Below are 24710 nucleotides of genomic sequence, written 5' to 3' on the forward strand. Positions count from 1 at the left end.
ATGGGCCTCAGTGTTCACAGCTATAAAATGGGAATGTTGAGATGTAATTCTCAAGGTCAGGATGAGGATTAAGTTAGACTAGGCATGTACAGATTGTGGCAGTGAGACTAGAGCAGAGGAAATCCTAAGATATGTTAGTGAGAGTTTCATGAAGCCAGAAGAGAAGATTCTGGTTATGAAAATCTGAAAAAATGATGCCATGTCATACAGCATCTCTATTGTAGAGCTGTTGTACTCTAGTGTACAGCATCTGGGCCTCTCACTCCCTTCTATCTGTGACTGACCCTCTGATGTGACAAAACCACAATAATGATGATAATAATAATAACAGTGATAATAAAAGTAATCATAATTATATTATATAATAAATTTATTATTTAATAATTAATTATAATTATAATAACAGAAACCCCTTATACTGTCCTCTTACTCTATGCCAGACCAGGGCACATTACCTAAGTCAGCTCCTTTATTCCTGGAAGCAAACTTAGGACACAGGTACCATGTTTCTTCCCATCTTGTTGACGATGATCAAGATGAGACTCAGAGAGGTCTCTGAGCCCTGTTGGAAGTAAGAGAGTTAGACTTTAAATCTAGGTTTGTCAGCTTCTGGACCAGCATTCCTTACTGCTGCATACTTTACTGCATATGTAACTTCTGCATATGTAACCACTGTGTTGGAACCACTGCATACTTAACCACTGCTTTTTTTTTTAATTTTTTTTGTTATACTTCAAGTTCTAGGGTACATGTGCACATCATGCAGGTTTGTTACATATGTATACATGTGCCATGTTGGTGTGCTGCACCCATTAACTCGTCATTTACATTAGGTATATCTCCTAATGCAATCCCTCCCCCCTCCCCCCACCCCACAACAGGCCCCACTGTGTGATGTTCCCCATCCTGTGTCCAAGTGTTCTCATTGTTCAATTCCCACCTATGAGTGAGAACATGCGGTGTTTGGTTTTCTGTCCTTGTGATAGTTTGTTCAGAATGATGGTTTCCAGCTTCATCCATGTCCTTACAAAGGACATGAACTCATCCTTTTTCATGGCTGCATAGTATTCCATGGTGTATATGTGCCACACTTTCCTAATCCAGTCTATCATTGATGGACATTTGGGTTGGTTCCAAGTCTTTGCTATTGTGAATAGTGCCGCAATAAACATACACGTGCATGTGTCTTTATAGCAGCATGATTTATAATCCTTTGGTTATATACCCAGTAATTGGATGGCTGCGTCAAATGATATTTCTAGTTTTAGATCCTTGAGGAATCACCACACTGTCTTCCACAATGGATGAACTAGTTTACACTCCCACCAACAGTGTAAAAGTGTTCCTATTTCTCCATATCCTCTCCAGCATCTGTTGTTTCCTGACTTCTTAATGATCGCCATTCTAACTGGTGTGAGATGGTATCTCATTGTAGTTTTGATTTGCATTTCTCTGATGGCCCGTGATGATGAGCATTTTTTCATGTGTCTGTTGGCTGCATAAATGTCTTCTTTTGAGAAGTGTCTGTTCATATCCTTTGCCCACTTTTTGATGGGGTTGTTTGATTTTTTTCTTGTAAATTTGTTTAAGTTCTTTGTAGATTCTGGATATTAGCCCTTTGTCAGATAGGTAGATTGTAAAAATTTTCTCCCATTCTGCAGGTTGCCTGTTCACTCTGATGGTAGTTTCTTTTGCTGTGCAGAAGCTCTTTAGTTTAATTAGATCCCATTTGTCAATTTTGGCTTTTGTTGCCATTGCTTTTGGTGTTTTAGTCATGAAGTCCTTGCCCATGCCTATGTCCTGAATGGTATTGCCTAGGTTTTTTATGGTTTTAAGTCTAACATTTAAGTCTTTAAACCATCTTGAATTAATTTTTGTATAAGGTGTAAGGAAGGGATCCAGTTTCAGCTTTCTACATATGGCTAGCCAGTTTTCCCAGCACCACTTATTAAATAGGGAATCCATTCCCCATGTCTTGTTTTTGTCAGGTTTGTCAAAGATCAAATGGTTGTAGACGTGTGTGTTATTTCTGAGGGCTCTGTTCTATTCCATTGGTCTATATCTCTGTTTTGGTACCAGTACCATGCTGTTTTGGTTACTGTAGCCTTGTAGTATAGTTTGAAGTCAGGTAGCGTGATGCCTCCAGTTTTGTTCTTTTGGCTTAGGATTGTCTTGGCAATGCGGGCTCTTTTTTGGTTCCATATGAACTTTAAAGTAGTTTTTTCCAGTTCTGTGGAAAAAGTCATTGGTAGCTTGATGGGGATGGCATTGAATCTATAAATTACCTTGGGCAGTATGGCCATTTTCATGATATTGATTCTTCCTATCCATGAGCATGGAATGTTCTTCCATTTGTTTGTGTCCTCTTTTATTTCATTGAGCAGTGGTTTGTAGTTCTCCTTGAAGAGGTCCTTCACATCCCTTGTAAGTTGGATTCCTAGATATTTTATTCTCTTTGAAGCAATTGTGAATGGGAGTTCACTCATGATTTGGCTCTCTGTTTGTCTGTTATTGGTGTATAGGAATGCTTGTGATTTTTGCACATTGATTTTGTATCCCGAGACTTTGCTAAAGTTGCTTATCAGCTTAAGGAGATTTTGAGCTGAGACAATGGGGTTTTATAAATAGACAATCATGTCATCTGCAAACAGGGACATTTTGACTTCCTCTTTTCCTAATTGAATACCCTTTATTTCTTTCTCCTGCCTGATTGCCCTGGCCGGAACTTGCAACAGTATGTTGAACAGGAGTGGTGAGAGAGGGCATCCCTGTCTTGTGCCAGTTTTCAAAGGGAATGCTTCCAGTTTTTGCCCATTCAGTATGATATTGGCTGTGGGTTTGTCATAAATAGCTCTCATTATTTTGAGATATGTCCCATCCATACCTAGTTTATTGAGAGTTTTTAGCATGAAGGGTGGTTGAATTTTGTCAAAGGCCTTTTCTGCATCTATTGAGATAATCCTGTGGTTTTTGTCTTTGGTTCTATTTATATGATGGATTACATTTATTGATTTGCATATGTTGAACCAGCCTTGCATCCCAGGGATGAAGCCAACTTGATCATGGTGGATAAGCTTTATGATGTGCTGCTGGATTTAAAATAATGGTTTGCCAGAATTTTATTGAGGATTTTCGCATCAATGTTCATCAGGGATATTGGGTCTAAATTTCTCTTTTTTTGTTGTGTCTCTGCCAGGCTTTGGTATCAGGATGATGCTGGCTTCATAAAATGAGTTAGGGAGGATTCCCTCTTTTTCTATTGATTGGAATAGTTACAGAAGAAGTGGTACCAACTCCTTTTTGTACCTCTAGTAGAATTCGGCTGTGAATCCATCTGGTCCTGGACTTTTTTTGGTTGCTAGGTTATTAATTATTGCCTCAATTTCAGAGCCTGTTATTGGTCTATTTAGGGATTCAACTTCTTCCTGGTTTAGTCTTGGGAGGGTCTATGTGTCCAGGAATTTATCCATTTCTTCTAGATTTTCTAGTTTATTTGTGTAGAGTGTTTATAGTATTCTCTGATGGTAGTTTGTATTTCTGTGGGATCGGTGGTGATATCCCCTTTATCATTTTTTATTGTGTGTATTTGATTCTTCTCTCTTTTCTTCTATATTAGTCTTGCTAGTGATCTATCAATTTTGTTGATCTTTTCAAAAAACCAGCTCCTGGATTCATTGATTTTTTGAAGGGTTTTTTGTGTATCTCCTTCAGTTCTGCTCTGATCTTAGTTATTTCTTGCCTTCTGCTAGCTTTTGAATGTGTTTGCTCTTGCTTCTCTAGTTCTTTTAATTGTGATGTTAGGGTGTCAATTTTAGATCTTTCCTGCTTTCTATTGTGGGCATTTAGTGCTATAAATTTCCCTCTACACACTGCTTTAAATGTGTCCCAGAGATTCCAGTATGTTGTGTCTTTGTTCTCATTGGTTTCAAAGAACATCTTTATTTCTGCCTTCATTTCGTTATGTACCCAGTAGTCATTCAGGAGCAGGTTGTTCAGTTTCCATGTAGTTGTGCAGTTTTGAGTGTGTCTCTTAATCCTGAGTTCTAATTTGATTGCACTGTGGTCTGAGAGACAGTTTGTTGTGATTTCTGTTCTTTTACATTTTCTGAGGAGTGCTTTACTTCCAACTATGTGGTCAATTTTGGAATAAGTGCGATGTGGTGCTGAGAAGAATGTATATTCTCCTGATTTGGGGTGGAGAGTTCTGTAGATGTCTATTAGGTCTGCTTGGTGCAGAGCTGAGTTCAATTCCTGGATATCCTTGTTAACTTTCTGTCTCATTGATCTGTCTAATGTTGACAGTGGGGTGTTAAAGTCTCCCATTATTATTGTGTGGGAGTCTAAGTCTCATTGTATGTCTCTAAGGACTTGCTTTTTGAATCTGGGTGCTCCTGTATTGGGTGCATATATACTTAGGATAGTTAGCTCTTCTTCTTGAATTGATCCCTTTACCATAATGTAATGGCCTTCTTTGTCTCTTTTGATCTTTGTTGGTTTAGAGTCTGTTTTATCAGAGACTAGGATTGCAACCCCTGTTTGTTTTTTTTTTGTTTTCCATTTGCTTGGTAGATCTTCCTCCATCCCTTTATTTTGAGCCTATGTGTGTCTCTGCAGGTGAGATGGGTCTCTTGAATACAGCACATTGATGGGTCTTGACTCTTTATCCAATTTGCCAGTCTGTGTCTTTTAATTGGAGCATTTAGCCCATTTACATTTTAAGGTTAATATTGTTATGTGTGAATTTGATCCTGTCATTATGATGTTAGCTGGTTATTTTGCTCTTTAGTTGATGCAATTTCTTCCTAGCATTGACGGTCTTTACAATTTGGCATGTTTTTGCAGTGGCTAGTATCAGTTGTTCCTTTCCATGTTTAGTGCTTCCTTCAGGAGCTCTTGTAAGGCAGGCCTGGTGGTGACAAAGTCTCTCAGCATTTGCTTGTCTGTAAAGGATTTTATTTCTCCTTCACTTATGAAGCCTAGTTTGGCTGGATATGAAATTCTGGGTTGAAAATTCTTTTCTTTAAGAATGTTGAATATTGGCCCCCACCCTCTTCTGGCTTGTAGAGTTTCTGCCGAGAGATCAGCTGTTAGTCTGATGGGCTTCCCTTTGTGGGTAACCCGACCTTTCTCTCTGGCTGCCCTTAACATTTTTTCCTTCATTTCAACTTTGGTGAATCTGACAGTTATGTGTCTTGGAGTTGCTCTTCTTGAGGAGTATCTTGTGGCGTTCTCTGTATTTCCTGAATTTGAATGTTGGCCTGCCCCGCTAGGTTGGGGAAGTTCTGGATAATATCCTGAAGAGTGTTTTCCAACTTGGTTCCATTCTCCCCGTCACTTTCAGGTATACCAATCAGACATAGATTTGGTCTTTTCACATAGTCCCATATTTCTTGGAGGCTTTGTTCATTTCTTTTTACTCTTTTTTCTCTAAACTTCTCTTCTCACTTCATTTCATTCATTTGATCTTCAATCACTGATACCCTTTCTTCCACTTGATTGAATTGGCTACTGAAGCTTGTGCATGTATCATGTAGTTCTCGTGCCATGATTTTCAGCTCCATCAGGTCATTTAAGGTCTTCTCTACACTGTTTATTCTAGTTAGCCATTCGTCTAATCTTTTTTCAAGGTTTTTAGCTTCTTTGCGATGGGTTCAAACATCCTCCTTTAGCGCAGAGAAGTTTGTAATCACTGATCATCTGAAAGCTTCTTCCCTCAACTTGTCAAAGTCATTCTCCGTCCAGCTTTGTTCCATTGTTGGCAAGGAGCTGCGTTCCTTTGGAGGAGAAGAGGCTCTCTGATTTTTAGAATTTTAGCTTTTCTGCTCTGGTTTCTCCCCATCTTTGTGGTTTTATCAGCCTGTGGTCTTTGATGATGGTGATGTACAGATGGGGTTTTGGTGTGGATGTCCTTTCTGTTTGTTAGTTTTCCTTCTAACAGTCAGGACCCTCAGCTGCAGGTCTGTTGGAGTTTGCTGGAGGTCCACTCCAGACACTGTTTGCCTGGGTATCACCAGCGGAGGCTGCAGAACAGCAAATATTGCAGAATGGCAAATGTTGCTGCCTGATCCTTCCTCTGGAATCTTCGTCTCAGAGGGGCACCTGGCCATATGAGGTGTCAGTCAGCCCTTACTGGGAGGTGCCTCCCAGTTAGGCTAGTTGGGGGTCAGGGACGCACTTGAGGAGGCAGTCTGTCCGTTTGCAGATCTCAAACTCTGTGCTGGGAGAACCACTACTATCTTCAAAACTGTCAGACAGGGACATTTAAGTCTGCAGAAGTTTCTGCTGCCTTTTGTTCAGCTATGCCCTGCCCCCAGAGGTGGAGTCTACAGAGGCAGGCAGGCCTCCTTGAGCTGCAGTAGGCTCCACCTAGTTTGAGCTTCCTGACCACTTTGTTTACCTACTTAAGCTTCAGCAATGGCGGACGCCCCTGCCCCAGCCTCGCTGCCGCCTTGCAGTTTGATCTCAGACTGCTGTGCTTGCAGTGAGTGAGGCTCCGTGGGCATGGGACCATCCAAGCCACATGTGGGATATAATCTCCTGGTGTGCCATTTGCTAAGACCATTGGAGAGGTGCAATATTAGGGTGGGAGTGTCCCGATTTTCCAGGTACCCTCTGTCACGGCTTCCCTTGGCTAGGAAAGGGAATTCCCTGACCCCTTGCACTTCCCAGGTGAGGCGATGCCCCGCCCTGCTTTGGCTCATGCTCCGTGGGCTGCACCCACTGTCCGACAAGCCCCCATGAGATGAACCCGGTACCTTAGTTGGAAATACAGAAATCACCCGTCTTCTGCATCACTCACGCTGGGAGCTGTAGACTGGAGCTCTTCCTATTCGGCCACCTTGGAACCTCCTCACCACTGCATATTTAATTGATGCATGTTTAACTACTGTGTACCTAACTGCTGAGCACTTAACCACTGAATAGTTAACCTCTGCTACTTCCCCAAGGTGTGCTTAACTACCATTTGTTTAACCACTACAGACTTAACTGCTGCACATGTAACCACTGCATACTCAACTGATACTTATTGAACTGTCATATATTTCATCACTGTATTTAGCCATGCATATGTAACCACAGCATACACAAGCATTATGTACTTAACCCCTGCACCTGTAACCAGGGTATACTTAACAACTATTCTGCCCTTTCCTGACCCTCTATGATGGTACAAGTAGAACTAGTGTAGGGAAAAATAGGGGGTAGAAGAAATGTAGACCTACCAGGGTAAAGGCGTTTGGGATTTATTGAGGGAGTTGATGATCCCCATCTCACACACCTCAAATGTCTCCAAATTCAAGGGCTTTCTGAGTTTTACCCCATTACTTAAATGCAAATCAAGGACGAAGTTCTCAAATCATGCTCTCCTGGGACCCTGGGATTCCAGAAGTTATAGCTGACTGAAACAATAGGCTCTTTCCTCATTTTGTAAGACACACTCTAAAAGATTTTTTTTTCTCTCAAGTTTTTCTCCTTTCATTTTTTCCCCACTCAAATTCCCAGTAGCTGTTGCACTGGGAAGTGTTTCTATGAAACAAGATGATTTAACAAGAAGCTCAATTATTTCATTCATTTATTCTCTCTTTTGGTCACTCAGCAAATATTGATTAGGCTTTTGCCCTGTGACAAGCACTCTTTAAGGAAATAATTTGGTGGCCGGGCACCATGGCTCATGCCTGTAATCCCAGCACTATGGGAGGCCAAAGCAAGTGGATCACCTGGGGTCAGGAGTTCGAGACCAGCCTGGCCAACATGGTGAAACCCTGTCTCTACTTTAAAAATACAAAAATTAGCCTGGCTTGGTGGCGGGGGCCTGTAGTCCCAGCTACTAGGAAGGCTGAGGCAGGAGAATCGCTTGAACCCAGGAGATGGAGGTTGCAGTGAGCTGAGATCATGCCACTGCACTCCAGCCTAGGCAAGAGAGTGAAACTGCGTCTCAAAAAAAAGAAAAAAAAAAAGAATTTGGAAGTAGCCCATCCTGTTTACACAAGCATCCTGTTTGCTTCCTGGACATGCATACTGTGCCTTGTGCTTTATAACATATAAGTGTAGTTAAGTAGTTAGGTACTTAATTCCTGTGATACTTATTTTTAACCTACTAAAAGGGACCCTCTTAGAAATGCAAATCAAAACCACAATGAGATGCCATCTCACGCCAGTCAGAATGGCAATTATTAAAAAGTCAAGAAACAACAGATGCTGGTGAGGTTGTACAGAAATAGGAATGCTTTTACACTATTAGTGGGAATGTAAATTAGTTCAACCATTGTGGAAGATGGTGGTTCCTCAAAGACCTAGAACCAGAAATACCATTTGACCCAGCAATCCCATTACTGGGTATATACCCAAAGGAATGAATATATGTCATTCTATTATAAAGATACATGCACGCATATGTTCATTGCAGCACTATTCACAATAGCAAAGACATGAAATGAACCCAAATGCCCATCAATGATAGGCTGGATAAAGAAAATGTGGTATACATATACCATGGAATACTATGCAGTATTCCATACTATGAACAAGATCCTGTCCTTTGCAGGCACAAGGATGAAGCTGGAAGCTATTATCCTCTGCAAACCAATGCAAGAACAGAAAACCAAATACTGCATGATCTCACTTATAAGTGGGAGCTGAACATTGAGAACACATGGACACAGGAAGGGGAACATCACACACTGGGGCCTGTTGGGGGAGAGTGGTGGCTGAGGAAGAGCATTAGGGAAAAGAGCAAATGCATGCTGGGCTTAATACCTAGGTGACGGGTTGATAGGTGCAGCAAACCACCATGGCACACATTTATCTATGTAACAAACCTGCACATCCTGCAAATGTAGCCCGGAATGTACAAATTTAAAATTAAAATTAAAAAAAAACAGCACATCAAAAGTTCCACATTCAGGAAAGCAAATTAGTAGAAAAGCTCAATAATATAAATAGTCTCTCCTCCAGCTGTTTAAATAAAATGACATCTGATAATTTTTAAAAAGTGGCTCTCTTGAAAATATTATAAATATAGCTATATGATTCTTATTTGCTGAAGATAGAGACCCTGGCATATATTCTAACCATTTTATCATTCTTTCTACTAACCACAATGATCCAGATTCTTAAAATGGAATTAAATACAGCAGTACTTTATGATATTCTATAAAAAGTTGGGTAATTTCCAGATGATTGGCCACACAAACAAGTTTGAGAAGGCAGCTGGTTTTGTGGGGAAAATCTCAGGGTAGGAATCACACAGGCCTTGATTCAAATCCTAGCCTGGACACATTCTAATTGTCTAGCCATCAGCAAGTTAATTAACCTTTCTGAGGCTCAAGACAGTAAAAGTCATACCATTCTCAAAGTGTTTGTATCCCAATATATAAAAAAACTTGGCACATAACAAGCGCATAAATGCTAGTTGTGTCACTGCTGAAATAATGACAATATTAGTAGTAAGATTATGTTTTCCCCTTGAGGTTCCACTAGGTTGGCATGTTCCAATTCCCAAGCAGTTTTTCATCTAAAACCATCTTCCTTTGCCATGGGATAGTGTTTTTAAAAAAATCCCTGGAGCCTGCCCCAATTATAAAAGAAGATAACTTGACTTCATTTAACTGCAGCCTCAGCATTTGAATTTAATTGAACAGGAAATAATTATTCTTGAAGAGCGGAGGTTTTTGAGGTTCTGCGAGGCAATATAAGATACGTATCTCGTTACATTAGACCTTGGCAAATATACTTTTAATAATCAGCTGCTACTTAACATACCTTCCGCCTGCTATTAAATTTCCAGCAGGAACTACGGACACGATATATTGGGGAGGGAGGGGGCTGAACGGCTGATGAGTTATTTAAAAAGTGATTTATTTACCAAGGCAAGCCATTTGCAAATTCAATAATAAATCTATTTAGGAGTAGTTAACCTCTATAACTCTGTTTTTAATAATCAGTTGGTGTTTGGGTAACGTACAACGTCTGTCTCATTAACTCGGCATTAAGTCCTTATTTAGGTACTTAGTCTGAAGTGTGACCCAATCAGCCATGAGGTGGTAATGAGGCACTGGCTATAGGTCCTTGATCATCCAAGGACCTGGGTCCTTCCCTGGCTGCACCAGCTCTGGTTGGGGAGTTGGGGAACCATGAGTTATCTAATGCTCCTCTCTTTGCTCCTCACAGTGCCTCTCATGACAAAGACTTGACACCACCACCTTCCTCCAGGGGAAAGAAGAAAAAGAAGAAATCCACTCGGAAGAAGAGAAGGAGGTAAGAGCACCAAGAGGGAGATAAAACCTGTAAGATGCAGGCAGGGACAAAATATGGGTTTCAAAGTCAGACAGTGGCTCCCTCTTGGGTTCAAATCCCCTCTCTGATGCTTAACTAGCTGTGTGACCTTGGGCAAGTCACTTTACATCTCTGTTCCTGTTTTTATTATACTTCTCCAAAATGGTGATAATATCTACCTTTTGAGATTTCATGAAAATTACATGAAAAATTAATGTGGAAGCGGCTGTCACAGTACCTGGCACATGGTAAATGACTAATTAATAGGAAGCATAGTCTTTTTTTTTTTTTTTTTTTTTTGAGACGGAGTCTCGCTCTGTCACCCAGGCTGGAGTGCACTGGCATGATCTCGGCTCCCTGCAATCTCCGCCTCCCAGGTTCACTCCATTCTCCTGCCTCAGCCTCCCGAGTAGCTGTGACTACAGGCGCCCGCCACCACGCCAGGCTAATTTTTTGTATTTTTAGTAGAGACAGAATTTCACTGTGTTAGCCAGGATGGTCTCCATCTCCTGACCTTGTGATCCGCCTGCCTCGGCCTTCCAAAGTGCTGGGGTTACAAGCGTGAACCACCGCGCCTGGCCGGAAGCATAGTCTTTAGCATGAATATTGAATTATTTTTTGAGAGCTTACTAGATGCAGAGGACTAGACTAGGCACCGTGGTCTTCATTATCTCTTTTATCCCTGACCATTGTCTACCAGGAAAGCATTATTATTCCCATTTTAGAGATGAGAAAATAAAGGCTCACAGAGGTGGTGACAGGATCTACAGGGGCTTGACGCCAGGTTCTCAGTTGGTTCTACGACGCCCACCTAACTAGTTCAATATCTAGGATAATAGGTGGGTGTTGGAGGGGAGGGGTGCTGTTTGTTTGTTTGCCAGCTATTGACTCTTTGGTATCCTATGCATTTTTTCTACGTCCAATTCCTTTAAAATTTTTTTATATTTAAAATGATTTCCAGATTTGCTTGTAGGCTGCCACTAACTAGACTGAAAGCATCTCTAGTGTGCCAACTCCAGAGGGGCAGGCTTAAATTAACCCTTAAGGCTGCCAACTGAGAATCACAGCAAACTTCTGAGGCAGTATTTATAGAAACCTGTAGGGGGCAGCAGAGAGCAGCATCTGATGACTTGGGCTTCAACTCCAGGTTTTCTGGAACCTTGTTTCACAGACACCCCTTAGCCTCATTCTAAAAGGACAGGCTCAAAGAGGAGCCAGGGGGAAATATGGATGAAGACTCTGAGTCCTAGCCATTGTAGGGTAGGAGATGAAATTGAGGCAAGTGCTTTGGATTTCCTAATTTGAGGGGTGGGCCAGAGAATACTCTAAAAAAGGAAACCTCAGATATTAAGATTCACTAATTGACTCGTTCATCCAGTGAATATTCACTGAGCATGTGTCTGGGGACAAATGTTATGATTCCTTGAAGGCTGAATTGTTTCTCAGCCATTCCCTTCTGCAGACATGTTTTGTTTGACCTGCAAAGTGATTTGATTTTTTTTTTAATTGGTGGTCAACATTTCCAAATCGGGAGATTTCATATGAAAATGTGGAGTTTTGGAGGCTCCTTTAGAAAAGGCAGGTGCTGTAGAAGCCCAGACCTGAATTCCTACACAGGATCTTCGGCTAATCTGAGAAGCAGACTCCCCTCCAGCCAGAACCTCTCTGGTTCCCCCACAGTCCCCACTACTCCCTACTGTCTTCCACCCAGCCTGCTTCATCCATTCATGTTACCTGAGAGGGCCCTGTTAGCATTGAATTTGTAACCTCTCATCTGTTTCAACCCTGGTCTTTTGTCAGCGGGGAAATAAGAGACTTAGAGATGAGCCTTGACATGCCCAAGGTGGCTCTGTGAGTTGGTAGTAGTCAAGATTGGAACTTAGGTCACCTGAGCCTCAGTCTTGAGTCATCACCATGGACTCAGAGTAGCTCTGTTGCTCAGGTAACACTTTGATGGCACTATCCGTGCAGCCGCAGCCTGGCAAGATATCCTTCAGGGGCTCAGTCTTACCAGGGAGACAAAGGATGGGGCAAAGGAGAAACCCTGAGACTTTGAGAGGAGGGTTGCAGCTTGAAGGGAGAACAGCAGACAGAAGGAAGCCTTTCCAGCTTGACCAGGCAGGCAGCTGTGAGGTGCTATGGTGACTGAGAGCAAAAACCAGTGGGATCCCAGCTCATCTACTTCCTAGCTGTGTGTCTTTAGGCCGGTCACTTCACCTCTCTGAACTTCATTTTCTTTGTCTGAAAAGGGAGGGTAGCAATTGTACCTACCTAAGAAGTGTGTGAAAGGATTGAATGAGATAATGCTTACAAAACACAAGGTAATGGTTTACATTAACTTGTTAAAAATTAAAATCAAATGAAAAGTAAAATTAAATTTGTGAGCAATTAAAAATTGCTTACAAATGCAAGCTAGTATCAGCATGGATATTATCTTTGATGTGTGTTCCTGCAAGAGCTAAAACCCTGTATAAGGACTGGGGAAGGTTCTTTTTGAAACCAACCTTGGCCTTTAAGAGCCTCCTTCTGAAATGTGTCTTCTTGGCCCTGGCAGGTCCTCATCCTATAGCCCATCGCCTGTCAAGAAAAAGAAGAAGAAAAGTTCCAAGAAACACAAGCGACGCAGGTATTGTCCTTTTTCTCTGCAAACAAGACCTCCCCAGGTGGGGTGGGGAGGACAGTTGATGGCACTAAAAGGTCATCTGGAAGCATATCATGTCATTTATGTAAAACAATTATCTATGTCTTTTTACGTATTTGTGTCTTGTGTAAGCTGGGACTGTGGCTGCGAAGACTAGAGGTCCACACATGCTAACTGAGGCCAGAGGAGGACTTGATTATAAAGAAGCAGGAGTGACTCAGGGACCAGCCAGGCCTGAGCAAGGGGCTAGAACAAGGAGTGGAAAGCTGACAGGACCCACCTGGGACCTGAAGTGCCCGCTGTCTCCTGGTCCCCATGAGGGACATGGCTGCACCCTGCCCCATCTCTCCATGTTGCAGGCCAAGTTGCAAGGAGACACTGAATCTCTCTGTCTTGTTCCTTATTCCAAATTCCCAAGGAAATGCCCCTCTTGTCAGTCCATTGCATGCTAGAGAATGAGATCATGTTGAAAAACATGGCTGTGCTGAGATTTCCCATGCTGGTGCATGGGGATGCAGTGACGGTAGTTACAGCGCATCATGAACTGGGCCCATGTTCCTGGTGTTCACTGTGCACACACACACACACACACGTGTATGTTTACAGGGGAAGGAAAAGACTAAAAGGATACTGTAGTCCTGGCACTTTGGGAGACCAAGGTGGGCAGATCACGAGGTCAGGAGGTCGAGACCATCCTGGCCAACATGGTGAAACCCAGTCTCTACTAAAAATACAAAAATTAGCCAGGTGTGGTGGCACGTGCCTGTAATCCCAGCTATTTGGGACGCTGAGGCAGAAGAATCACTTGAACCGGGGAGTCAGAGGTTGCAGTGAGCCGAGATCGCTCCATTGCACTCCAGCCTGGCAGCAGAGTGAGACTCTGTCTAAAAAACAAACAAACAAACAAACAAACAAAGGATATACAACAGAGGGCTCAGGTTTGTGGTTTATGGCCCAAACCAACACTTTATAATTGGAAGATTCTGCAATACAGAAATACAGTTTTCTAGTTCCTCTGTAGAGTCAGAAGGTCTGTCTTCTCTGGGCCTATTTTCCCACGAGCAACCATCCCCTGGAGCTGAGGAGTTGCCAAGCATTTAGACAGAGTGCTCCAGTTGGCCTTAGGACCTGTCCAGCCTGCTCTACCCACTTACAAAGCCTGCTTGGCCCCTGGAGGCAGGAAGTTTGAAGCTCCCTATACAAGTTATTTGCTGTAGTGAGCTGCGGATAATGGGAAAAGAGTGATTTATATATTACTTTTGCTTATCCGTATCATCCAATTTTCCTACATCAATTGTAGATTACTTGTGCAATTAACAACAGAATGAATGAGAGGTAAGAGGTTGTTTGGGGCTTCCCCCTGCATCTCAAGTCCAGTTCAAAGTTGCACCAGTGTGGCTTTTCCCAATCCAGGGATATGACCACATCTCAGTGCTGGTTGCTAGAGTGGCCTCAAACTCAGTTGGCTCTCACTGGTTATGTCAACCACCTGCCCAGACTTCCTGACTGATGTTATCTGAGTTTGTGTTTACTACAAGGCATGGGCAAACTAATTAGTGAAATGTTGTTAATTTGGTGTCAGCAATCTTTCCCCAAGTGGAGTCCTTTGTAGAGGCAATGGCCCACACTTATGATTCTAGATGGCCACCTTATCACCTCCCTTTGCTGAGCAGCTCCTCCCAATTTGGGGGTTCGCTGGGGGAAGGGAGAACAACTTTCCCATATTTGGGCTCTGGAAGCCAAGTGGCTTCTCACTCACAGATTCCTTCTCATGAGAAAGACACTGACAGACAGTCAGAAACAGGCTTTTCCTGCCCGGTCAGCCCAGGTCTTAGAGCTTTACAGAGTAGGGGGTTCATATGAGGGAGATGATTAGGAGGGGAAATTCTGTTGCTATTCCTTCCCAAACCCTGACCTCCCGAGCACCATCCTACTCCTGGTCCAGCCTCTCCAGGCTCTTGAAATGTTTGGTGAATGATAGCTGACACTTTTGGAGATGGGACCTAGGGGTAGCGAAAGCACTGAGATTTTTTTTTTTTTTTTTGTCTCTCCTCAGTTAGCAAGGCTTCTGAGTTTTTAAAAATTTTTCATTTTTCTAGCTAATGCATGCTGCACTTAATACCTAGGTGATGGGTTGATAGGTGCAGCAAACCACCATGGCACACATTACATGTAGCAAACCAGCACATCCTGCGTATGTACCCCAGAACTTAGAATAAAAATTAAAATTTTTAAAAAATGATTTTTCACATCTATTTATTGAACACCCATTATGTATCATGAATGAGGATTCTGAGTCCCAGAAAAGAAACCAAAACCCAGTCCCTGCCCTCCAATTCTCACATTCTAGTGGGGAAAATCGATCATTCTAATATGGAGAAGTCTGTACCCTGATGATGATAAGCTCAGAGGCTCACCCAGAGCTTGGGGGAGTAGACAGGAGGCATCCAACCAGCCTGAGGGACTCAGAAAATGTTACAAGGAGAAGACGGCCTCCAACTGGAGCACTGAAGAATGAGAAGAAGCTACATGGGTGATGCTGTTTGACTCTGAGCAACTTAATCAACTTCTCTGATCGTCAGTGTTTTTGTAAAATGGTTGTTAATAGTACTCCACAGGGCTTGGGGAAGATTGAATGAGATTGTACGTGACAGGTGCTAAGTACAGAACCTGGCACACAGTAAGAGTTCCACATGTGGAAGCTGGCTGTCTCATGATGATGACGGTGATGATGAGGATGAGGAGGAGGAGGAATGCACAACAAGGGAGAGAGAAGATGAGATGGAGAATGGAGGAGGGGAAAGGCAGAAGACTCTCTCTACGTTCTCCTTATCCAGCCTCATCCAGGACAGATTTACTGACAGTTTTGGGGGAGGATTGGAGCACCGGTAGGCTTTGATCTGGAAATTCAGAATCAAACCAGTATCTCCCATACAATTTTCATAGTCTCTGAAATCTAAGAGAGGAGGAGGATTAGCTAGGTGTCCCGACCCCCTGTAGCGTGATCACAAACATGCTGATACCTTCATACCAGGAAAAAAAAAAACTTTCAAACTCACCTATATTTACGTTTTCCCCTCCCTCCCTTCCTTCACCATCCCTCCCTTTCTTCCTTCCTCCTTTCTCTCCTTCTCTCCCTCTCTCCATCTCTCTCTCTCTCCCTCTCTTTCTCTGCCTTTTTTTTCTTTGATTCTTCTTTTCATTTTTTTTCTTTCTTTCTTTTCAGGTCATTCTCCAAGAAGAGAAGGCACAGGTAAGACTCTTGTTCTCTGACTGCCTGTTCAATTTTCTGCTTTCTCAGCCAGCTTGGGGCAGCTTCTAGGTCAGCCCTCAGTTTCCATCTGTGCTCTTAGGCATGACCCCTTCATCTTCCTGGGCCTCAGTTTCCTCCAAAATGAAGGTCTGGGCTGTTTTTTCTGAGTATTCCAAGCCAGCTTTTGACTTCCATCAGGCCAGGGGGTTGATCTTGGACCAGCCCTATCGATGTCTCGACCCCAGAATGTCTCATTACTACCCCTGCCACTGGTTGGAATCTTGAACTGGGGCACATAGGGAAACAGTCCTGTCACACCACCAAAACCTTCCCAGATCTGGCCAAGGAACAGGGCCAAGTCCTCGTATACTGGACACACTGGGTGAACACAAATAGTTATTACTTACAGGGTCCTGACTCCAAACTGGATCCTGAGCTAAGTCCCTTCCATGTGTAGATGTTTTTAATTCTCATTAATCCCTACCACAACCTTGCACAGTGGATATGTTTATTGTTCCCATTTTACAGATGAGGAAACTGAGACTAAGATAGAATGTCACAGGAATGTCCACAGATAGAACCAGAAGGTAACGGAGCCGAAATTCAAACCCAAATCTGTAGACAGAGGGTAAGGGGAGTGACGATGGCTTCTTAAATAACAATAACCACATCTAGAGCAATCTGCAAAATGCAAAGCCCTGTCATTTGTTCACTTAATAAGTAGATATTGGTTGCCAATGTCCTCTGTCCACTCAGCTCTGCAGCTTGAGTAATGGCCCCATTTCACGGTTGAAGAAACCAGGTTTTAAAGGGACGGGTAACTACCCTGATGTCACACAGCAGCTAAGAAGCAGAGGCGGATCTTGGGTCCAGTTGAATTTGGATCTGTCAGCAAGGTCCTGGGCTCTCCCACTGCCTAGGGTGAGTCTCAACATGAAGATAGATCCTGTGGCTGGCTTCAAGGTGTAAGATAGTTAGATGAAATAAAATTGCCCCTTCCCAGGTCCTAGGCCAGTAATAGGTTCTTGGTGACCCTCTGCAACCAGTCTAGCTTAAACTACCAAATAGTGTGTTCATCCTCCCTGATCTCTATTTGATTACACTGAGACCCCAAGTCATTCTTATCCATTGTACTCAGACCCTAGCCCTATGACTCAAAAAATAATTTAAACGCAGATACTTGAATATGAATGGGCAGACCATTTCAGAATCTACCAAGCGTCATGAGAGTTCAAATATCTTCCTGGATATTCCATTTGCTTCTCTTATAAATTGATTGAACAGCAGTCAAGAGCATGGGCTCTGGGGATCCATGGTCTCAGATCCATGGCCACATCCTAGCTCACCTGCGCAATCCTAACCAAGTTTCTTTGCCCATCTGAGGTTCAGCTTAGAATGAGCACTTGTTAAATTGTGCCTCCACCCATAGGTTGTGGAGAGAATAAAATGAAGTTGTTGACGAAAGTATTCAACAGAGTGCCTAGACTGTAATTAAAGTCTCAAAAAATGGCAGACATTGTTATTACTACCTTTATTGCTGCCATTATTATTAACCTAGCAAAGCTGAGCTTGGCATCCTCCACACTCCATCCTCAACATATGTGTGTGCGTCGGTATCCCTAGCCGAATTTGCTGCATGAAAATGTTGGCAGTGAATTTTCCAGTCTGAGGCAATGATCAGTGTCCATTCCAAAACTGCCTGGATCTCACACTGTGTGTTAAGCATTTTAACTACTTGTTTATCTTTAACTAGAATTTTGCATCTTTCAATTAATTGACCATTTCTTGTTTAGCTCCTCTAGCCCAAAAAGCAAAAGAAGAGATGAGAAGAGGCACAAGAAACAGTAAGTAGATACTACCTGGAATGTACTCATCAGTTTGAGGAGTTGGGGCATCTGGCTTCTTAAAAGCCAGAGTCTTAGAGTTGCCAAATAAACAGGGAAAGGGAGGAGAAGGTGAGCGGGTGAAAGGAAGGCAGGAAGGCAGGAAGGCAGGAAGGCAGGAAGGCAGGAAGGCAGGAAGGAAGGAAGGAAGGAAGGAAGGAAGGAAGGAAGGAAGGAAGGGGAGAGGGAGGGACAGAAAGGCATAACTGCGTGTGTTGTAGGTTTAGGAATGTATGAATGCACCGGGTCGTGTGTATATGATGTGTATGTGTATGCACGCTTGTTTATGTTGCATGAAAGGGTGCATGTGTGTGCCTGGTGTGTCCCTTATGAGTATACCTTGTGTGTATATTTATACATAGTATGTATATATCTAGTGCATGCATTGTAGATGTCTGTACATTTTTACATTTTTGTACACTGTGTGTACAAATGTATACAATATGGGAACATTGTGTGGTCTATATTTGTGCCTACACCAATGCATTTGTGTGTCTGTGCTTGTGTGAGCATGAATGTGAATGGTATACATAGGACACACTAAATTCTATGCACTGTGTGTGTGCGCTGTGTAAGTACCTGTGTATATTTTGTGCACAGGGGTCGTATGGTGGTTTTTACCTGTGCATGGGTGGTCATGGGGGTGTGAGCACATGGGTGCACGTGTGTGAGCATGTGTATGAATTCATGTGCTGACTGTTGGATTTACAGTGTGGAGATGTCAGTTAAGCTCCTAGCTCCAGTCTTGGGGCCCCAGCTGTTTCACAGTTTATAGCTGGTAGTAGAAATTCAAATCAGCCACTGCTGCCTGTGGAGTTCAGTTCCCAGCCAAATTAAAAGTAAATTTGGTTACAACCTACCTACTTTATATCCTGCAAATGTTAGTGCGTGTGTTTTCCAATCAACTAATATTTTATCTCCTGCCAAGAAGCTTCTAAAGAGAGGATCAAAGACAATAAGATGAAAGGTAGTCGACTGCCAGGGAGGAAAAAGAGGAGGCAGGGATGCAGAGGGAGGGTGCCCAGCTTTGCTGCCCCAAACGGTCTTTTCACCCAAGGTCAGGACGAAGGAGGGCATTTCCGCCACCACCACAGAGGCCTGGGGAATGCTCCAGAAGAAAGCAGTAGAGCCTTGAGTTAGCTGAGGGAAGAACTTCCTCATCATCGAATTTGTTCCGCTCAAGTCAAGAGACAATTATTGGCCACGTGTATTGAATGTGCTTTCACACTAAGCACAGATAGAGTACACGTTCCCAGCAATCTCGGTGTCACTTGACCAGTGGGGCCCCAGGGTAGGCAGCCACAGAGTCAGGGGGTAGGCCCAGACCTCAACAGCGCTAGGAAGGACCATCACTGAGATAAGGACTGCCTGCGTAAGGGGAGCAAGGTGGCCACCCTCCCCGCTGGCAAGAGCTGGATGAGCCCCAGAAATTGCTAGCAGGGCATCAGAAAGCTTGTGGAAGCCAAAAGACAAGAGGCAAGAGAGAAAAAAGACAAGAAGAATAAGGCTAGGAATCTTGAGGATTCAAGATAAACGATGGCTTATTCTTACCAAGTCTACGGTCAGGGCTGCTTCTAGGCAAGTGGCTGCTGGAGTGAGTTAGCCTCCTTTCATTCAACATCCCTTAATGAGGCCCTACTATGTGACTGGCCTTGCGCTGGGCCCAAGGACAGAGATGAGCCAGACACTGTCCTGGCCTTGAAGAGCTCACAGGAGCCAGACATAGGGCTGGTCACAGAACAGCAGACGAAACCCTGGGCATTGTGGGAACACAGGCACTGGGAAAAGGGCTTGGTGGCCTCCCGCAGGAGGCAGCATCTAAGCCGCAGGTGAGGATGGGAAGTAACCATTCCAGGCTGCAAGTTAAGCAGGTGGTTTAAACTCTCTGTGCCTCAGTTTCTTCATCTGTAAGATGGGAATAATAAGAGAATCTATTTCATAGGTTATTATGAAGAATAGATGAATCCCTTTAAGAAAAGTGCTTAGAATACAGTGCCTGGCATGAAGTATGTGTTAGATGTGGGTTACCTGTCATCATCACCATTGTTATCATCATCATCCCTAAGACATCATGAACTGGGAAATGTGTGAGCCAGCATACATACAGTTCAGAGCTGCTTTAGCCCACCAGGCCAGGGCAGAAGAAGACAAGCAGTGAGGCCAGAGAACTAGGCAAGGGCTAGCTCCTGAAGCTGCCTGAGGTTCAGGATCAGAGTTTGAACTTGATATGAGAGCAATGGGAAAGTTTTAAGCAGGGAAGGGATATGGTCTGATGATTACATTAGAAGAATCCCTGAGTCCTTTGTTGAGATAACCAAGTTACCTCCCAACAGAATCATCTCTAACTCCCACTGGCTTTCTCGTTTGGCCCAAACCATTGACATCCTTTATATATCTTCAATTACCACTGCCGCTGCCACTACTATTTCTGAATTATTACTACTTAGAAGTAGCTGAAGTAACCTGCAGTAACACCACTGTTAGTGGTAGTGGTAGTAATTGGTGTTGTTCTAATTTTTGTTTTTAATGAGGTTTGTAGCCCATCCTGAAAGGTTTTTGACTCCATGCTAAGAACCTGGACTTAATTTTCCAGGTCTGAGGTTGTAAATTGGCAGCCCAAAGGCCTAATTTACTCTGCAAATGTGTTTCATTTGCCCAAAAAGGTGCCTTTAAAAAAAAATAAGCTTCCATTTAAAATAAGAACATTTTACCTAAAAATCTGTATTTCCACACTCACTTGAAAAATTAGAGGATCACCACACAAATATTCTGGAGGCAAAGCAGCACCTTCTGTTTTAACTCGGGCCTCCGGTTGATATTATGTTAGTGCTGGGCTGATCCACATATTTATGCTGCCTGAATGGCCCCTGAAGCTCTGTGACGTTGAGGCGCCTGCCTTGAGTGATGCAGAGGAGACATGGGGAAGTGACTTTCTGCCTAGGGTGTCATCTGGGGAGCAGGGAGGGCCCTGAGTCATCCACACTCCCTTCAGAGGACCCCTTTCTGCTCACCCGTATTCAGTACCATTGGTTACGGAACCCTCCACCCAATACCCAGGCAGGAAGCTGGACTAACGCATGGGGTTGAGGGAGATGGAGAACTTCGGGAGGGATGGTGACCAGTGCAAAGGAAAAACGGGTGTCACAAGATCAAATCTCTCACTCTCCCTTTTTTACTCTCTCTCTCCTCTCCTCTGACTCGTTCCTTCTCATCCCCCCAAGATCTCGAAGCCGGCCCCGAAAGTCTCACCGCCACCGCCATCACCGCTGCCCCTCGCGGTCCCAGAGCTCGGAGTCCCGCCCCTCAAGCTGTGAGAGCAGGTAACCCCTTGCCCCAGGATCCTCTTCTGTCAGCCACAGCCGAGCCCAGGCTAAGACACTGTTAACACTAGCTTCGCCTCCACACTTCCAGCACAGGGTTTGGCCCCCTTCCTCAGACTCAGCAGCTGGCACCACTTCCCTGTAGAGAAAGGGCTGGAGAGCCTGGGTGCGGTGGCTCACGCCTGTAATGCTAGCACTTTGGGAGGCCGAGGTGGCCAAATTATGAGATCAGGAGTTCAAGACCAGCCTGGCCAATATGGTGAAACCCTGTCTCTACTAAAAATACAAAAAATTAGCTGGGCGTAGTGGTGGGCACCTTTAATTCCAGCTACTCTGGAGGCTGAGACAGGAGAATCGCTTGAACCCAGGAGATGGTGGTTGTGGTGAGCCAAGATCACGCCATTGCACTCCAGCCTGGGTGACAGAACAAGACTCCATCTCAAAACAAAAACAAAAACAAAAACAAGAGAAAGGGCTGGAGACCAAAAGGTCTTGCTGCCATCACTTATAGGAATGACAACACCATACTAGCTGCTTTTTTTTTTTTTTTTTTTTTTTTTTTGAGACAGAGTCTCACCCTATAGCCCAGTCTGGAGTGCAGGGGGGCGATCTTGGCTCACTGCAACCTCCACCTCCTGGGTTCAAGCGATTCTCCTGCCTCAGCCTCCAGAGTAGCTGGGACTACAGGCGCCCGCCACCACACCTGGCTAATTTCTGTATCTGTAGTAGAGACAGGGTTTCACCGTGTTGGCCAGGCTAGTCTCAAACTCCTGACCTCAAGTGATCCAACCGTCTCGGCCTCCCAAAGTGTTAGAATTACAGGTGTGAGCCACCGCCCCCAGCTCTAGCTGCTCTTTGTACATCCACTTGCAGGATCCTCTCTACAACCGTAACAAGTGGGCATTATTGTTATCCCCATTTTAAATATGAGAAAACTGAGGCATGGGGGGGTTAAGGACTTTACTAGTCTCTTAGCAACTAAGTGACAGTTAGGATTGAAATCAGGGAACATGGCTCTAGACTTCACTAAGGGACCACTCTAAGCACAGAGAAGCTAAGCAAACTATGTAAACCCAAACAGTGCAAAGTAGAAAGTTCACTCTAATGCCTTTTCAACTCAGTTTTCTCCTAACCTGGACTCTCTCTATGCTAATACATTGGTTGTCCCAACCTGAGAAGGCATCTTGTTGATGAGAAGAAGGAGGAAGGGAAGGAGAAGAGCAAGAATAAGAACTGGAGCTTTAACTATAAATCATGCTGCTATAAAGACACATGCACACGTATGTTTATTGCGGCATTATTCACAATAGCAAAGACTTGGAACCAACCCAAATGTCCAACAATGATAGACTGGATTAAGAAAATGTGGCACATATACACCATGGAATACTATGCAGCCATAAAAAATGATGAGTTCATGTCCTTTGTAGGGACATGGATGAAATTGGAAATCATCATTCTCAGTAAACTATCGCAAGAACAAAAAACCAGACACCGCATATTCTCACTCATAGGTGGGAACTGAACAGTGAGAACACATGGACACAGGAAGGGGAACATCATACTCTGGGGACTGTTGTGGGGTTGGGGGACGGGGGAGGGATAGCATTGGGAGATATACCTAATGCTAGATGATGAGTTAGTGGGTGCAGCACACCAGCATGGCACATGTATACATATGTAACTAACCTGCACATTGTATACATGTACCCTAAAACTTAAAGTATAATAATAATAAATAAATTTAAAAAAAAGAACTGGGGCTTTATTGGTGTTTGGAATCGTTGATGTTCAATGGGGACACTGAGACCTCCAGCTTCCAGATGTGAGGAGCTGCTTTTTTCTTTCTGAAATGCATCTCACACTTGACTCTCCGTTCACATCACAAGGGTAGATTTTAAAATGTCATTGCCCTGGCCCCACTTTTCCCAAATAAAGCAGAATATCTATAGGAAAAGGGAGGAGGAGCCAGGTACAATGTCTCGCGCCTGTAATCCTAGCACTTTGGGGGGCCGAGGTGGGCAGATCACCTGAGGTCAGGAGTTAGTGATCACCCTGGCCAACATAGTGAAACCTTGTCTCTATTAAAAATACAAAAATTAGCCAGGTGTGGTGGTGGGCACCTGTAATCCCAGCTACTCGGGAGGCTGAGGCAGGAGAATCACTTGAACCCAGGAGACGGAGGTTGCAGTGAGCCAAGATTGCACCATTGCACTCCAGCCTGGGTGACAAAAGTGAAAGTCTGTCTCAAAAAAAAAAAAGAAAAGAAAAGAAAGGAAGAAAAAGGGAGAAGGAGAAGGTAGAAGGGGGAGAAGGAGAAAGAGGAGGCAGGAGAGGAATATTTACCCAAATCCTGCTCTGTGTCAGACACTGTGCTAAGATTTTCAATACATTTTCTCTCTCATCATTCTGATAATACTACGTGCTATGCTGGTGCTTGTCTACTTCGGCTGCCCTTTTCAATCACTTGGGAAGTTTTAAAAGATGCCAATGCCTGGATCCCACCCTCTCAACATTCTGATTTAATCCAGATGAGATGAGACCAGAACAGTGAGATTTTTAAATCCCCCCAGGTGATGTGTGGGAAGCATTTGAGGAAGAGGCCCTTGGTACCTACTATCACAATTAGGCCTTGGTGTTTCTGCTGAACATCAATAATTTCCAAGAATATCACCATCCAACAAGGCCACTCTGCAGCCCTGATTGCTCAAGACAAAACTAAGCCCCCTCTGTAATCAAGTCTGAGCCCAGATGAGAACACCGCAAAACACAAAAGTGACCAAGCATCTCTCTACCCTGCCTAATATGAGTGACTGCTGCTTCCTCGGCAGTCAGCCTTAGCCTCGGTCTAGTCCTCCCTCTTTCTAAATAAGACTGATGAAGACACCCAGTCAGAATTACCCCCACTTCCTGGCAGCATCCAATTCTGAACAAAGCTCCAGATCTGTAAATGCTCCCCAAACCACCTATCACCAGCCCAAAGCCTATAATAGGTTCTTTTTAACACCCCCTTACAGAGACGCCTGAAACTTCCCTATGGTATGAAGGAGTGACAACAATGTTTGTTCAACCCCAGGTGGACTCCTGGTGGCCTTTTTCTGGAGGACATTGGCCAAATGAGCTAAAACACATCTCTGATCTGTTACAGCAGAGACAACTGCCTTTTGGTGGGCAAAGGGATCTGAGCGAGGTCACATAGCTAGGAAGTGTCTGGCAGAGCTGGAATAGGCACCAGGTTAGTGTGACTCAGCCTGAGCACTTCACCTACACCCCAGGCTGAATTATCTCTCGGCAGCTAAGCCCTACTGGCCTGGGCCAGAGAATCATACAAGGCTTTA

The 24710-nt window shown here is 43.8% G+C and overlaps 1 protein-coding gene and 1 long non-coding RNA gene across 2 annotated transcripts in view; one reads left to right on the forward strand and one right to left on the reverse strand.

Moving 5' to 3' along the window:
* SRRM4 (serine/arginine repetitive matrix 4) overlaps positions 1 to 24710 on the forward strand; it is a 181511-nt gene that overhangs the window by 122567 nt on the left and 34234 nt on the right. The window contains exons 3-7 of the mRNA NM_194286.4: positions 10171 to 10257; positions 12830 to 12901; positions 16143 to 16169; positions 17963 to 18013; positions 21274 to 21372. Of these exons, the coding sequence (NP_919262.2) occupies positions 10171 to 10257; positions 12830 to 12901; positions 16143 to 16169; positions 17963 to 18013; positions 21274 to 21372 (336 nt within the window). The remainder of the gene's footprint in view (positions 1 to 10170; positions 10258 to 12829; positions 12902 to 16142; positions 16170 to 17962; positions 18014 to 21273; positions 21373 to 24710) is intronic.
* LOC105370021 (uncharacterized) lies at positions 6770 to 20863 on the reverse strand. The gene is made up of 3 exons (XR_945429.3): positions 20790 to 20863; positions 12780 to 12852; positions 6770 to 6856 (listed from the first exon to the last, which is right to left on the reverse strand). It is a non-coding gene; the product is annotated as an uncharacterized LOC105370021 (long non-coding RNA).

This window comes from Homo sapiens, chromosome 12 (assembly GCF_000001405.40).
Source record: "Homo sapiens chromosome 12, GRCh38.p14 Primary Assembly".
Lineage (NCBI taxonomy): Eukaryota > Metazoa > Chordata > Mammalia > Primates > Hominidae > Homo > Homo sapiens.